At 36.6% G+C, this 16,447-nt stretch overlaps 1 protein-coding gene across 15 annotated transcripts in view, besides 2 other annotated features; it reads left to right on the plus strand.

The window, feature by feature from the left end:
* The window catches only part of GNG2 (G protein subunit gamma 2), a 143,622-nt gene that overhangs the window by 54,673 nt on the left and 72,502 nt on the right, over positions 1-16,447 (plus strand). The gene's annotated exons all lie outside the window — the stretch shown is intronic.
* Positions 3,602-3,701: a silencer, noted in NCBI's record as "silent region_5742". NCBI's record gives its function as "represses an Ori minimal core promoter by ATAC-STARR-seq in GM12878 lymphoblastoid cells {active_cell/tissue: GM12878}" and the evidence as "EXISTENCE:reporter gene assay evidence [ECO:0000049][PMID:35858748]".
* Positions 3,952-4,021: an enhancer, noted in NCBI's record as "active region_8384". NCBI's record gives its function as "activates an Ori minimal core promoter by ATAC-STARR-seq in GM12878 lymphoblastoid cells {active_cell/tissue: GM12878}" and the evidence as "EXISTENCE:reporter gene assay evidence [ECO:0000049][PMID:35858748]".

Below are 16,447 nucleotides of genomic sequence, written 5' to 3' on the forward strand. Positions count from 1 at the left end.
ACCAAATAATGACCATATCCCATAATATTTGGGTTGAAAATGGGGGTTAATCCAACTCTTGGAAAATCTGTAGCCATATATGCATGTTTGTTCAGACCAGCTTAAAAAGACAAAAAAAAAGAAAAAAAAAAAAAAAAAAAAACCCTGAGATTCAGAACTGAGAAGCAGCAGCCACGTTTATAGTCACAAGCCCTAGCTGCCCTTTCAGTTCTCCTGTGTTACCAGCAGGCTCCTGCACTTTGCCTCTGATGATGGAAGCTTTAATAACTTTGTTACTGAGGTGACCACAGGACCTCGCTGAATCTTTTTCAGCAGTCAGCCTGCATGGAAGTTATAAAATCCAAGTTTGCCAATGCAGCACAGAGCTCTCTTAGCTTTAATCTTGCCTTTCATAGAGCAAAATCGAACTTTTCCCCCCTAAGAGACAGCACAGACTGTTCAAGAAGAGGTAAATATTAGGAAGACTATCTGGAATGCCCAGTGGGAGGGGATTGGAGTGGATCATGTCTTGGAGTCTCATTTGGTTCTAAGAACATGGCGCTTCCTGACTCCCAGCGGTGGAGCATGAGCCACTTACCCCCATGTAAAGTTGCTACATCTGGGTAAAGACGCTTGCTGGGCCTTTCCCCACTACTTCTGCAGTACTCTGCCAGCATCATCCGTAGCAAAACCACACTGAGAAATCAGGGAAGCTGAAGGTCCTGGGGCCTCATCCCTTACATTTCTGTGGCTTTTATTTTGAGAATTTTATTCTCTAAATCATTAGGACTAAGCAAAGAGAGCTGTAATTGTACTTGAAAGAACAATAAATTAGCTTCCCTAGAATAGGCATTTGACTTTTAGGAGCTGGAAGACTTTTTTTTTTTTTTTTTTTTTTTAACGTATTTAATAGTTTCCTGTCTTCCAAAATTTCCTACTTGGTAGATCCAAAGCATTCTATTTCAATTCTTTTTTTTTTCTTTCCAAAAAAGATTCAGCACTATCAGTCATTGAAGTAGAATCTGGCTTTCTGACAAGGATGGGGCCTGGACAGAATTGTGAATTATTTTGATTTTTTCCTCAATCTCTTTTTGGGTTTCTTCCTTCCAGGACTTTCAATCCTGGTTTCATTTTGCTAAGACTCGCCTCATTTCAGCTTCAAATCTTTACCAATTTTTGTGAATCAACAAGTTGCAGAAGAAATGAAAACACATCAAGTTCTTATGCTGTAATTTAAACTTAGGTTCTTTTATTCTTTTTCAAAGAGAAATTAGAGAGTAAATGTAAATAAGGATCAAAATAACTACTTATCTGGGTACAGGGTTTCCTTCCGGGGTGATGGAATATCTTGGAACTAGTTAGCAGTGATAGCTGCACAACACCGTGAATGTACTAAATACCATTGAATTGTACACTTTACAATGGCTGATGGTTAATTTTATATGTGAATTTTACCTCAATTTAAAACAAAATGCCGATTGAACTTCAAGAGGAAAAAAGAAAAGGACTGTTTCCTCCTACCTTCAAATTCTGGAAAAAGTGTGAATCCGTTTTAATACACTCATGTTAAATTTCTACACCAAAATTGTTATAAAATTGTTCTATTCTGTTCCATTACTGGGAACAGATATTTGGATGTCATAGTGTCTGCAAGGTAGAATTAATTAGGAAACCCTTGAAGGGTAAAAGGGGAACATCTCTGAGAGTTAAGATACTAGTTGTTTATTCTTAAGATGTGTAGTTTTTGTTACTACGTTGTAGACTGGCCTGTACTTTGCAGAGCTGGTCACAGTAAAAATTTGTTTTTAAGTTTAAAAATTTAAAATACTGGACTTTCTTCCACCTATCGTGGGACAGAATTTGCATCAGCTAGGTTGGAAAGTTTTTTAATAGCCTATAGTAGCAGACTGCAATTGGTAGTGATAAAATGGAGAGTCCATTTGGGAGGCCGAGGCAGGCGGATCACGAGGTCAGGAGATCGGGACCATCCTGGCTAACACGGTGAAACCCAGTCTTTACTAAAAATACAAAAAAATTAGCTGGACATGGTGGCACATGCCTGTAGTCCCAGCTACTTGGGAGGCTGAGGCAGGAGAATGGCTTGAACCCAGGAGGCGGAGCTTGCAGTGAGCAGAGATCGTGCCACTGCACTCCAGCCTGGGTGACAGAGCGAGACTCCATCTCAAAAAAAAAAAAAGAAAAAAAAAAAGAAAAAAAAGAACAGTCCAGAAGTAATAACTTTAATGAAATGAGAGCAAGGTAACAAATTTCATATATATAAATACTTTTTATTAACAGTCTCCTTAAGACATCCCCAAGCACCATTACCTGACGGGGATTTGTTTCAAGGCATGACTGCATAGGGGTTTGCAGGTAATCCTTGGCTTAACTATGAAACTTTAGGACTTTAAATTTCTTCTAGGTTTAGAGACAACCATTTTAACCTTTCTGCAGAGATGTAACTAGGCAACCAGTATAGCACTTAACCAGTGCATAGCATTCAAACTTCCTAGCCATTTACATCATTTTTAAAAAATACTATTTAAATATCTCTGTTAGCTTTGGCATATGCTGCCATGTAACCTTTAATTTCTTAGAAAATATCATGCAAACCCGCAGCTGTAAAATGGTATGCTTCCTAGAAGCCCAGCATCCTCCAATGTTAATAAGGAAGTCAGCTTATAAGAAGAGCAGTAACAGCGTTGAGAGGTAGCCACATGTACTGTGTTTAAAATTGAGAATTTAAAAAGGAGGTTTCATGTTTGGTGTGTGAATTTATGAGTTTAAAATCATATCCTTGGCAGATGGTAATGAGCATTTCTTACAATATGATTCATGGAAAAATATACATTCGTAGAGATGAAAACTAGATTTTATTTTAGCTGATTAGGTGGTAACTAGGGATATCTAGTTTGATCAATAAGCACAAACTTATTGAAAGCTTTTTATGTACCAGACACTATATCAGTTATATACTATAACTGCTATATACTGTATACTATAACTAGCATACACTATATACTGTGTACTATAACTGGTATATGATCCTTTTTTGTGACAATTATGATTTTAGTTAGGTTTTTTTAATCATGAAAGAAATTCATGCAGAAAAAAACAATATATGTGAAATATTTAAAAATTCAAGTAGTAGGGACAGGCATAAATGAAAAATAAAAGCGTTTTTTTCCCACCAACTTGTAGCCTCAGTGCCTAGAGGTAACCACTGTGGAGAGTTTCTTGTGTCTCTTCCAGAGATTTTTTCATCTCCTGGTTAATCTGTATCAAAAAGGTGAATATAAGTGCCATTGAACCATCTGTTCATAAGCTTTTCTTCTGAGCTAAGTTTTACATTTTGAGACACTATTATGCTTATTTTTAAAATGTGCCTTTTAAAACTGAAAGAAAAAAAATGTCAGAACCAAAGTGATGCTAGCAGAGAGGGCTGGTGGTAGTGAGAACTACAGCTGAAGGATGTTAATGTGTAGTTTTAGCCTCTGTTAACATTTATATGCGGAACTTAAGTAATAAACCTTAATGTAGTTCTTTTATGATTTTCAAAGTCATCTGGGGTATATTATCTCCCTTTATCCTTTAGATGACCCTGCAACGCAGGAACTGTTTATTTTACAAAGGAGGAAGCTGTGGTTCCCAGAGGTTAAGTAATGTGCTTAGGGTCACACAGCTGAAAAGTGACAGAATCAAGTCTTTTCCAATTAGTCTTGAGCCAGACCACATGGTAACTGTGAGGAAGAGAGAGGCACAGTTACACCTCTGTGGCTCCTGCAGTAAAGGCTATGAAGTGAAGGAGACGGGTGCAGACCGAAGATCTGGGCAGTTGTTTTGATTCTGCCCCTTGGACAAGTTATTTAAGGCAGTAGAAACAAGTTAAGGTGGCTGCCTCTGTCCTCCTAGTCTCCTCAGTGGCTATTCTGTTCCGATTTTCTTAGGTTGTTTAGGTAATACTGACCACAGGGGAGGAGACTTGACCCATGCTGAGGAAGCCTCAGTATTTCATCACCAGACCACGATAGTTGGTTCAGAGGGTGGGCCTGCCATCAGCAGGGGCCAGTAGGTTCTTCCTCTGGAATTTTCCAACTCGAGTTGAGAGGAGAGGTCTCATCCTTTCTGGTCCCAAGGCAGTAAGAATCATGGAAAGCTGTGTTTCAGTCTGTGGACAGAATCAGGTCCAATGCACAGAGGGGAGGCGGAGAGAGTCAGAGAGAGAAGGGAAAGAAGGAGAGAGCCCAGTCATAATTGGAGTCCATGAATCCAGTCCATGTGAGCCAATACATTCCCATGTTTTGCCCAAGCTAATTCAAGTTGTGACTAAAAGAGTTTTGACTTATACCTCCAGGCCTTAGTTTCCCCATCTGTAAAATGGAGGTTATAATATTCACCCTGACTATATCTGAACTATGTAAATATCAATTGAGATAATGAATAGGAATATACTGTATAAATTGTAAAATATGACACAAATGTAGGATGGTATTCACTGATATGTCACACTGAGTTAGGAAAAGTTGAAAGAGTGAAATTACCACTTATTTGGAAAATAAGTGAGTGCTTTCTAAGAGCCATCTGATGTTATACAGAATTAAATGAAAGCTGCCAGGGTCCTCCAGATTTTCTTTTGAGACCTTCTTTCAAATACTCTTTTAAGTTCTAATCAATACCCATAATGAATACAAGGATAGAGCTTTTACCTTGCTGGCCTAGATTTATTCAGTGGGTTTCTGTTTTCTATCCCCTGCCGTATTCTATAACACACACACACACACACACCCCCGCCCCCAAACAAAAAAACAAAATGTCATTATTAATATTTCAACATTTTAGCCTTTTTACTTAAAAGACCTTTACAGATTCATGTTAAATATTAATAACATTTTGGCTTCATTAAAGAAAAATCATCAAGGAAAATAAATCTTAAAGCAGCTATTTTAGATACACTTCATGGGAATGATATAGTTGAGGTGATTCTGGAGATAGGAAGTATTTGTTTTGGGCTCAGATAGGATCAAGATCCATCTTTTCCTTAATGGACTTATGTCTTTGCTATAAGCTCTAAGTAATCAAAATCTACTTGGGATTATAATTTATTCATGACAGAAAAAGCATCACTTCACTTTTATAGCATTTTTCACTATATATGATAATACCTCTCAATGAGGAAAAACAGATGGTACCTCTCTGAAAGCTTAGATTTGCCATTTAGGCAGTTTTTATTGTAGCAAGCATCTCTTTCTTTATATTTTATAATTACAACCAAAAAATGGCTTAAAGCTTCAATCGAAGTGGAATACCATATGCAAAAAAGGTTGATGTCACCATGGAAATATAATTTATAAGCATGAAGAAGCATGACATATCAACCTGAAAATGTTTTGCTTTCCTCACATTTTAAAATCTGTGTAATGTATCTACCACATTCACTGTTCTCATAAGTTCTGTGACTATGCCTTCACCTTACACAATTGCCAGTGAGCACTGGTGTGAGGCTGAATGGATGCTGTCTGACCACTCTACTCCTCATCTAGCCATTGTTAATCTTTGCCTGGGCTTGTTATTAATCCCATGAATGTCAGTGTTTTCATATAAACTGAGAACTTTGAATAAGTTCATATTCTGAATAGGGCATACTCAGCCCTCAGAAAATGCCAGCTGTATTGGAAACAATTGGCATCCTCAAACTGGTTAATTTCAAGAGTACTTAGTAAAAAGAATATTTCCAAGGATAAGGGCAGAGTATAGGAAAACTGCAAGGGAGAATGCAGTTTTCCAGGGCTCCTATATTATCCTTTGGCCTGAGGTATGAGGACAGTGGGGAGAGGACCTCCTTAGTGGAGCTGTGGCCTCCAGGAAAGGGATATAGCCAGATTATAATGATCCTGCAGGCAGAGACCCCAGGAAACAAATAACCTGAACTGATTCTTCCACTTATTCTGATCGCCTGCTCATGCTCCTCATTGGCCAAACCCAACTGGGAGGCAAAGAGCAAGGAAGTCTGCCACTGAGTTCATGCGGTTTAGTTTCCTGGGGTATAAGCCAGGTGGAATAGGATGGAGAATGGATTTGGAGAGGCAAATGGAAGATATACAGCACAGTTAACCTTCATCACGGAAGTCTTGCATGAAGGAATGGCAGTATTTCCAAAAAGCGTAGATAACTTACAAAAACTTGTTTAAACCAGCTTTCACATTTTTATTAATTTTACTTAGTCAAGGTTATAGCCCATGTTCAAATGGACCCAGATACAATGGTAGTATTTGGACAGAGTTCAGTTGTTTGTGTGGTGAAAGATGATCTGGAGGAGCTACACAGAGAGAGAAAACCACCCTATGCTTTCCTTATTCAGAGACAGGATGTCAACCTCAACTTACGGTTCAAGTTTGCTACAAAAACTAGCTGGACCCCTCAGAGCAGCTTTAGATAGCCACCTTCTTGGGCCTCCCGACATCAAAGGAAATGACTATTATCCCAAAGAAATGTAATACCTGGCTAGTGGGTTGAGTGGCCAATTTTTGGTGTTTTTGCAGCTTACTTTGAATCTCAAGTGAATTATTTTCATTTCTTTGACCCAGGGACCAGGATTACTTGCCTTGATCTAATCTAGATTAACCACTCTGATCCACTGAAAATGAATAAATCCACTGAATCAGATAAATTGGTTGGGGAGGTATTTGTGGCAGCACAAAATGATGGACAAAACAAATGTGGAATGCTATCCTAAAGCATCAACCTCTTCTGTGGATGGGAAAATTCCCTGACTTGGGAAGTTCTGGGACGGGTTGGGTCTATAATAGGAGCAGTGAGAGGCAGTGTGGTGTAGAGAAAAGAGCTGGGGCTGTGGGGTTAAAATGAACTGAAGTTAGCGTAATACTGACTGTGACCACCTTGGCAAATTACTGAACTTTCTCAACCTTAAGTCTCCTAGTATGAAAAATGAGAATAACTTTACTTGCTATAAAATTAATTGAAATTATATATGCAAAATGAAGGCAGTGTTTTCCACACAGTAGTCATGCAAATACCTTTTTAGGATGTATACACGTGTTGAAAACAACCATATGGAAGTATAATTGAGATTTTAAAAAGCTGCACATATTTGATGTATGTAATTTGATGAGTATGCCTATGCTCCTTTAAAAAATTATTTCTTAGCAGCTTTATTTAGGTATAGTTGATATACAATAAATAACACATATTCAAAGTGTATGATTTGATGAATTTTGACTGCATACACCCATGAAACCATCATCACCAACAAGATAATGAACGTATTCATTCAAAAGTTTCCTCATGCTCCATGATCATCTCTCCCTTCTATCTCCATCTCAATGTAATTACATTGAGATACATCCATGCTGTATGCATCAACTATTTATTCTTTTTATTCTTGGGTAGTATTCTATTGTATTGGTATACCACAATATGTTTATCTGCTTACCTATAGTAGCAATTACTCAATTATCGTTTTGTTTGTTTGTTTTTGTTGTTGTTGTTGTTTTGAGACAAGGACTTCCTTTGTCACCCAGGCTGGAGTACAGTGACATGATCATAGCTCACTGCAGCCTTGACCTCCTGGGCTTGAGCGATCCTCCCACCTCAGCCTCCCCAGTAGCTAGGACCACAGGTGCACACCACCACGCCTGGCTAATTTTTAAATGTTTTTGAAGAGATAGGGTCTCGTTATGTTACCTGGGCTGGTCTTGAATACCTGGGCTCAAGTAATCTTCCTACCTCAGCCTCAATTTTTTAAAATTCCATTTTCTTTCTTCTTTCCTCATTAATAGTGTAAGAGAAATTTTTAGAATTCCATGTTACCACAGCTGACGTCTCCATTAACATCCTCCAGGAGTAGTGCAGTTTACAAGAATTGGGTATAAATGCAGATATAATAGTAATTGTGTTTGTTAATCCCTGGTTTAGGTTGAGTACGCAGCTGGAATCTGGTTCTTTCTGCTTCCTAGGCTTGCTTTTGTTTCTTATCATAAACAAGCAACCTGGAGGAAACAACATAAATGTGGTGTATCTATACAATGGATTATTCAGCCATGAAAAGGAACAAGGTACTGATACATGCTACAACATGGATGAACCCTGAAAACACTATGCTAGGTGAAAGAAACTAGACACAACAGGCTACATATTATATGATCCCAGGCACTGAAATGTCCAGAATAGACAAATCCATAGAGACAGGAGGTAGATTAGTGGTTTCAGACTGGGGGAGAGGGAAGAGGGGAAGGAGAAGTGACTGCTAATGGGTATGGGTTTGCGCTTTTTTTTTTTTTTTTTTTTTGAGATGGAGTCTCGCTCTGTCGCCTAGGCTGGAGTACATTGGAGCGATCTCTGCTCACTGCAACCTCCGACTCCTGAGTTCAAGCAATTCTCCTGCCTCAGCCTCCCAAGTAGCTGGGACTACAGGTGTGTGCCACCACGCCCGGCTAATTTTTGTATTTTTAGTAGAGACGGGGTTTCACCATGTTGGCCAGGATGGTCACAAACTCCTGACCTCAAGTGATCCGCCTGCCTCGGCCTCACAAAGTGAGCCACCATGCCCGGTCCTTGGGTTTGCTTTTTTGGGGTGATGAAAATATTCTGATATTTGATAGTGGTGATGGGTACAGAATTCACAGTCTAATCTGTGACTATACTAAAAACACTGAATTGTATACCTTCAAAGTGAATTTTATGGTATTTCATTATATATCAGTAAAACTGTTATTTTATAAAAGCAGTCTGAAAAACTTTGGGAAAAATAAATATTCAAGAGCAGCCATTAATTTAATTTCCCTTTTTTTGTTTGCTAAAGGGAAAACTTAAAGCTTTTTAACTCATTGGTTGTACTGCACCTATATTTCCAGGTGTTGAGCACAATGTAGAACTTTCTAGCATTAGAAAATAAAAATGTGACATCTAGAGATAAATTGTGTTCGCAGATACAAGGTAGTTCAGTGCCGTACTGTTTTGGTTTATTGGAGATAATAAAGGCCCTGTAGCTACTTTGGCTTTTTTGTCTTTTCCTTTACTTTTTAAAAATAACATGCATTCAGATTATCTAATCACTCTTTCCTCTAGCCTTACTTAGTTAACTAGATACAGGATATCCTGTCAGTAAAGCATCTTAGCTAAATCAGATTATTTATCAAACTCCTAACCACAGTAGATACAACTGAGTGAGTAAAATAGAAGTCCAAGTACTCAAAATAATCCTTGGAAAGGAAAAGAAGCCGGGAGATCAAAATGAGTAGTGATTCAGTCATGGGTACAACTTTGGTTTCAGGCAGCTGTGGAGGATGGGAATAAGGACAGACTTCCTCCCTTTCTAATTGTCTTCCTTCACCTGGTGAAACACTGCCTTATTTAGAATGCTTTTAGCCGCTCAACTGCTGTGAATCAGGACCAACATTGTAATATCTGGAAATAGAGCTCCACCTGGTCTATTCCCAACAAATCAGTGTTTCCTGAGTACACGAGATTTGTGGTTGAGAAAAGGCATTTTTTTCCCCTGCCCTCAAAAATCTTACTAGCCAAGGTTGGAGTTTTGGTGTCATTTAGTTTAAATCTTAAAGTGAAAGAAAGGTATTCTTAACCCAGGGTAAAAGTAAAACCAATGTAACTCTACTCAGAAATATTACCTTTGCTTTTTGCTATAACTTGGCAAATTATTTTCCCAAGGTGACTTGGAAATATTTATGTCACAGTGTGTGTTTAGCTTGGGTTTTCTGTTATATTCTCTCCAGTTCTGGCATACAACAAAAAATTCCATAAGATAACTTTCCATTTTACTTTGGCACTGGAAGAATATGGCTCTCAGCAATATTCCTTTGAGTATTACTCTAGAAATATATTTATTCAGTTATGTATTAAGAATCTACAACACAAAGTATACCTGGAAGATGGTTAAGTGGCTTCTTCAATAAGCGGATGGGCTTTGTAGGGGAATAAAAATAAGTTTTTCTTCAATATTTATAGGTTCTTAGTTGGAATGGCCCCCTGTAACAAAAGACAGATTAAAAAGCAAAAAACAAACAAGTTTATTAACATGTTTATTTCATATACACATGGTATATGAAATTGAGTAGTTCCTAAAGAGATGGCTTTGAATTCCAGCTTATAGAGCATCTTCAGCAAAGAACAGTACATTCTTTAGAGAAGTGACAAGACAATGGAAAATAACTTTCAGTCTCTAAGTGGGTCAATTTTGGGGAAGGCAAATAAATGGCAGATAAAGGCAAGTTAGTAATCCTTGTTCATGTAGATTCCTCTCATACCATCTCCAGGCCAATAAGGGTCTTAAGTTGTCCTCAATGATTAGCCTTCGTTCTCCCCGGTAGAGAAGGAGGGGAGTGCGGGGCGGGATACCTTTTTGTCTTTAATAAATCTGTGTCCTACTTTAAGGCAAATAGAAGGAGGTAAAGAATTTTCTTGCATCTGCTTCTTGGTAGCCTTCAGATCAACAATTCCTTCCCATTTGGGGGTTGCATATTCTGGTCTTTCGTAGCTTCATAGGCATAAAGCTGTGAAAGCTAGACATAGACCTAAAGGCATTCTTTCTGTGTCTATATGTGTATGTATGTGTGTATATGTAAAATATCACACATCAAAATAATGAATACATGTGCATACATATATATATTAAAGACTGTTAGTAGAACAAACCCACATACATTCCCCATCTTTTAAGTACCACCTTTAAAAACTCCTGTATGCTTCTCTCCAATTCCATCCTCCTTTTTCTTCCTTCCCAGAAAGCCATAATCTGGACATTTTATTTATCACTTCCCTGCATATGGTTTAGTTTCACCTGTTTTAGAACTTTAAATAAATGACATCATGCTTCTTCTTTGGCTTGGATTTTTAACCAACATTATGTTTTGAGATTCATCCAGGTGGATGTACATAGCTGTAGTTTACCCATTTTTACTGCTATCTAGCAATAATTAGTGTATCATTCTTCCACTGTGTGAAATATCACACACTTTATTCATTCTACACATGTTGGGCATTTGGGTTGTGTCCACCTTTTTGCTCTGATGCACGATGCTGCTGTGTGCATTCTGTTCATGTCTCCTGGTTCACATTCAGGAGTTTTTCTAGGACGTATACTTTGGAGTTCAGTTGCTAAGGCATAGAACATTGCAAATATTCACCTTATTAGGTTGACCATTAGTGGTTATACCAATTTATTCTTCATTAGCAGTATAAGAGTTCCTCTTGCTCCACTTGTCAACAGTTAAGTGTTGGACAGAACAGTCATTCAGTTCTCTGAATTTTAATTTTTGCTAGTTTCATTGCAAATATATTCTGGAAGTCTATTTTTTTAAACAACTCATTTTTAACCATCTTGGTGAAAGAGACAAGGACGTAAATTGTTTTTTATTATGTTTGATAAAGTGGGCCATTACCGTAGACATATGTAGATATATGTTTTCAAGCAATATCGAGCCTGAGAGTCTTTTTTCTTTCTTTTATTTATTTTATTTTATTTTTTTTTTGAAATAGAGTCTCACTTTGTCCCTCAGGGTAGAGAGCTATGGCGCGATCTTGGCGCACTACAACCTTTGCCTCCTGGGTTCAAGCGGTTCTCCTGCCTCTGCTGGGACTACAGGCATGTGCCATCATGCCTGGCTAATTTTTGTAATTTTTTATAGAGACGGTTTTGCCATGTTGGCCAGGCTGGTCTCGAACTCCTCACTTCAAGTGATCCTCCAATCTCAGCCTACTCCCAAAGTGCCAGGATTACAGGCATGAGCCACCAGGCCTGGGCTTCTTTATTTTCTTTATCAGGTATTTTTAATTTACAAATGTAACACGCTCTTGTTTTTACAAGTAAAAAGATATAGGAAGAAGCTCATTTCCCCCTTTCTCCCTTGCCTCCCTCCTCCCCCATGTAACCAATGTTAATGCTTTGGGGTGTATTATTCCACGTTTTTCTTCATGCTCATAAATGTGTAATAAACATATGTTGGGTTGCAATTTATGAAATTGTTATTTTATTAGGCCAAAGTAGTTGAAATCAGCAACTGCATACAGTTCAATCACATGCATGCATATTAGGTAGTTGTCTGGAAATTTTTCAAATATAAAAGTTAATGTGCAGCTATCTTTTATGTGACAAATGTCACAGAATTCACCTAGCTTGTAGTTGTGGATCTAACAGATTCATGTTAATGATTATATCATCTTCACTCCACTGTCGCCTGTGGAGTGATATTAGTTTTGTCTTCCTTGGTTGTGGTTGTGTTTCTTCTAACTAACCTGTCATACATCCATGCTTTACTGTGGTGGAATCCCAAACAGGGGGATTGTTGAGTAAAAGCACTTAGGTCTCTTACATTTTAATATATATTACTAGATTTCTTTCTTAAAAGGTTGTAGCAATTTGGATGCCCATTAGTAAATATGAGCCTGCCTGTTTTCTATCTCCTAGTCATCACTGGAAATTACCACTCTAATGGGTGAGGAATGGTATTCTATTTTAATTTGCATTCCCTTGAATTCTGGTGAAGTTGAGCATATTTTCATATGTTTTCATTGATCTTTTGCATTTTCTCTTCTGTGAATGTCGTTTTGAATCCTTTGCCCATGTTTTTATAAGGTTATTTGACTCTTCCCTCAATTTATACAGAATCCTTAGTTTATTAGTGATAGTAATACTTTGTCCGCTTTATATGCTGCAGTTATTTCTTTCCCAGCCCATCATTTGTCTGTTTTGCTTATAGTATCCTTTGTCATACTTTTTCTTTTTCTTTCTTTTTTTAAAAAGTATTTATTCACATATGTCTGTGTTTTCCTTTATAGTTTTTTGGCTTCTTGTCTTGCTTAGGCATATTTCCTCTATCCAAGGTAATATAAATATCCTCCTTATTCTTCTTCTAATATTTTAAAAAACATTTCTCCATGTTATGTATTAAATCCATCTAGAATATATTTTGTATATGATGTGAGCTATAAATATGTTCCTCCAAACAGCCAACTCCATGACATCATTTACTTTAAAAACCCTCTTTTATCTACTGAATTGGAACACTACTTTAGTCATATATTGTTTCCACATATACTTGGATCAATTTGGATCAATTTCTGTACTTTTTATTATATTTCCTGGATTTATTTTCTATTCCAATGTCAATGATGCCATCTTCATTATAATAGTTTGATTTCAGGTTTTAATATCTAGAAAAGTAACTGGGTCCCATTTTATTCTTCTTTTTAAACATTTATTGCTATTGTTTGACATTTTTTCCATATAAAATTTAAACTCATTTTGTTATATTGCAAAAAGGGGAAAACAACCATTGAGATTCCAATTACAACTGCATTAAAATCATGTATTATTGGAAAGGACTTTTTTATATTTTGCGGTTTCCATCTGGAAAACATGCTTCTCAATTCAAATATATCGTAGTTTTATTTTAAAGTGCATTTCTCGATATATAAAGATTTTTGCTTCGTTTGGAGTTGGAAATTTGGTAAAATGGCTGGGTGTGTGATAAATATAAAAATAAATAGCTTCTCTTTTCTTAATGCTAAAACTTGTTCTCAGACTAACATACTGAGGAGTTCCTAATTCAGATCTCCAGGGACAGATGTCATAAGCTTGACTTAAGAAATGTTAAAGCAGAGCTTTGCGCCACTTGACTTAATTCCAACTTTGCTACAATGGATCATATTATTGTGGATTATTATTATGGAGGAAAACAGTACTTTGAGCTCTGTGTGGTTAGGCAGGATGTTTCTTCTTTTAGTTCTAGATCAGTCATGATGTTAAGAGTAAAATCCTAACAGAGGAAACTAATTATTTACATTTCAGTTTTTTTTTAAGTATAATTTTATCTGTTGGACAGAGGCTCATTTGAAGATAAAACCTCAAGATATAAGCTTATTGGTACATAAAAGTACATAGAGGAGTCTCACTTATTGGAAGAATTTTATCGTTAGTTTAACAAAACCTACAGTACTTCTGTACTTATTTCTAAAAACTAGAATTTAAAGTAAAAATACTGTTGCTTCTGGGAAATTAATGGCCTAAGTAGCAGTATAGATAGCCTTCTTCATAGTAAACCCATTCAAATGCCAATGACATTTTCTCAAACAAAAATCTTCAATAACATAGCCTCAGTATCCAAAAAACAAAGAAGAACTTTTAAAATAATTCAGCTAATTTTTAAAAGTTGTAATTCCAAATAACAAAACTATAAAAGAATAGGAAAAAAAAAACAATGAACTTTAAAATTGCCTGACATAACTAAAGCCAGGAAATAAAAAGCCATTTAGTGAAAATTACAGTATTACATACAATTAAGAATATTTCCAGAACTAGTAAAGAGAAGAGTTTACATGGAGAACTACTAAATAGTTAATTAGGGAAGCATATTTATTAACTACAGAATCAAATAAAAAATTGGATAGCTTAAATAAACATGTATAAATAATGCCAGGCCAAAATGATCCACTTCTAGAATGGAACACAGTGTTTTAACTTAAAAATAATAGGTGAAAGTACTTGAGCTAATAGAATAAATAAATGTTAACGAATCAACAATTTAAGGTAGACAATATTTCCAGAATTCATTAAAGATGTGGCCTATGTATTAGGAAGTTAATCTGGAAATTTACATCCAGAGAAAGATGCCAAGATGTTTACTTATAACATTTTCAAACTTCAGTGAGGAAGAAATCCTAAACATCTGGAAAAAAGGCCAGATAATATTCCAAGTACTGATTTCAGATGTAGCTGAAATTAAGACCATGAACTCCCCAAGGAAATGAAACAACATCTGCAGCTCTTTTTATGGAAAAAAATTATCCAGGCAAGATGTCATTCATTTGGAAAAGCTAGAGAAAGATTTTCACATATCCCACTGATATGGTTTGGCTATGTGTCCCCACCCAAATCTCATCTTGTAGCTCCCATAATTCCCACATGTTGTGGGAGGGACCCAGTGGGAGATGATTGAATTATGGGGCGGGTCTTTCCTGTGCTGTTCTTGCGATAGTGAATGGGTCCCACAAGATCTGATGGTCTTAAAAATGGGAGTTGTCCTGCACATGCTCTCTTTGCCTGCTGCCATCCACGTAAGACGTGACTTACTCATCCTGGTCTTCCACCATGACTGTGAGGCTTCCCCAGCTATGTGGAACTGTAAGTCCAATTAAACCTCTTTCTCTTGTAAATTGCCCAGTCTCGGATATGTCTTGATCAGCGGTGTGAAAACAGACTAATATACCCACTAACCCTAAATAGTCAATGACCTTACACTTTGGATTCAGAACAGGAATTTCTTCACACTGTGGCCACCTTATGAAGTCCTGCTGTCAAGATGGGATACTAAAAACATTAACTAGGAGGATCAATGCATAGACCATAGACCCGTTGCAGAATAAAATTGTGATCTAAAACGTAAAAGGAAGAGAGGAAGGGAACTAATATTTAGAGAACATCTATAATTATCAAGTTTTTTTATAACACATTATTTCATTCAGTCTTCAAAAACCCTGGTGGTATTGTCCTCTTGTTTCAGATGAGAAAATAGTCTCAAAGAGGTTAAGTGACTTGCTTTGTTAAGTTGTAGAGTCAGAATTGAATAGGTGTCTTTCTGACTCCCAAGAAAAGTATAAGTTTCCAAATAACAGTCCAAAAATTGAGAATGAGATAAGATGAGGAAGAACTAAAACCAATAGCCTAAATGTTCTTTTTTACCCATAGAAAGAAGCCTAAGAGCTTTGGGTTTTATTATTGCTGTAACTAGAAATCACCAAAATATGAATTTGATAATTTTAGTGACTTGTGTTTGTATGTGTTTGTGTGCAGATTTGATTTACATAGAAATAATTTTACTTAGAAGGGAGTATATTTAAGGTGCTTAATTAATAACTATGGCATTTATAAAGTGAAAATAAGGAATAGCGAAAATAAGAAAGATAGATGGCCAAAATATAACAATCATTATAGCCATAAACTTTAAAATGCCACATAAAAGATACGCACTTTAAACAAAAAGTCATACACTAGAATATAAGGCAGGATTATAATACATGAACTAAAATCATAAGGAAATAGAATAATGTGTCATTATTGAACATAACATAAAGCCAAAAAAGATGAATATATGAATTATATAATGATGACAGCCATCACAAATAATAAAGTGAGTAAAGGAGGAATAGTGTTGAAACAAAAGGAACAAGTGAATAATGCTACTATGCAGTAGAATCATATTAGAGTAGATGCCAGTCTCTTTGGGTGGCGTCCTTTTAGCCACAATCCAGGAGTGAATGTTGACTTACCATGGAGTATATTCCAAGAGCCCTCAGGGCTGAAGAAGAACTTTGGCCTTTGGAAATTTAGGAATATATGTTGTATACTGCCTGCTTTGTTAGCACTAACTAGAGTTGGACAGTCCAGGTCAATCTAGGCTGAATACGGTAGAGTCAAGTCATTCACTTACAGTTAGGA

This window comes from Homo sapiens, chromosome 14 (genome assembly GCF_000001405.40).
Source record: "Homo sapiens chromosome 14, GRCh38.p14 Primary Assembly".
Taxonomy (NCBI): domain Eukaryota; kingdom Metazoa; phylum Chordata; class Mammalia; order Primates; family Hominidae; genus Homo; species Homo sapiens.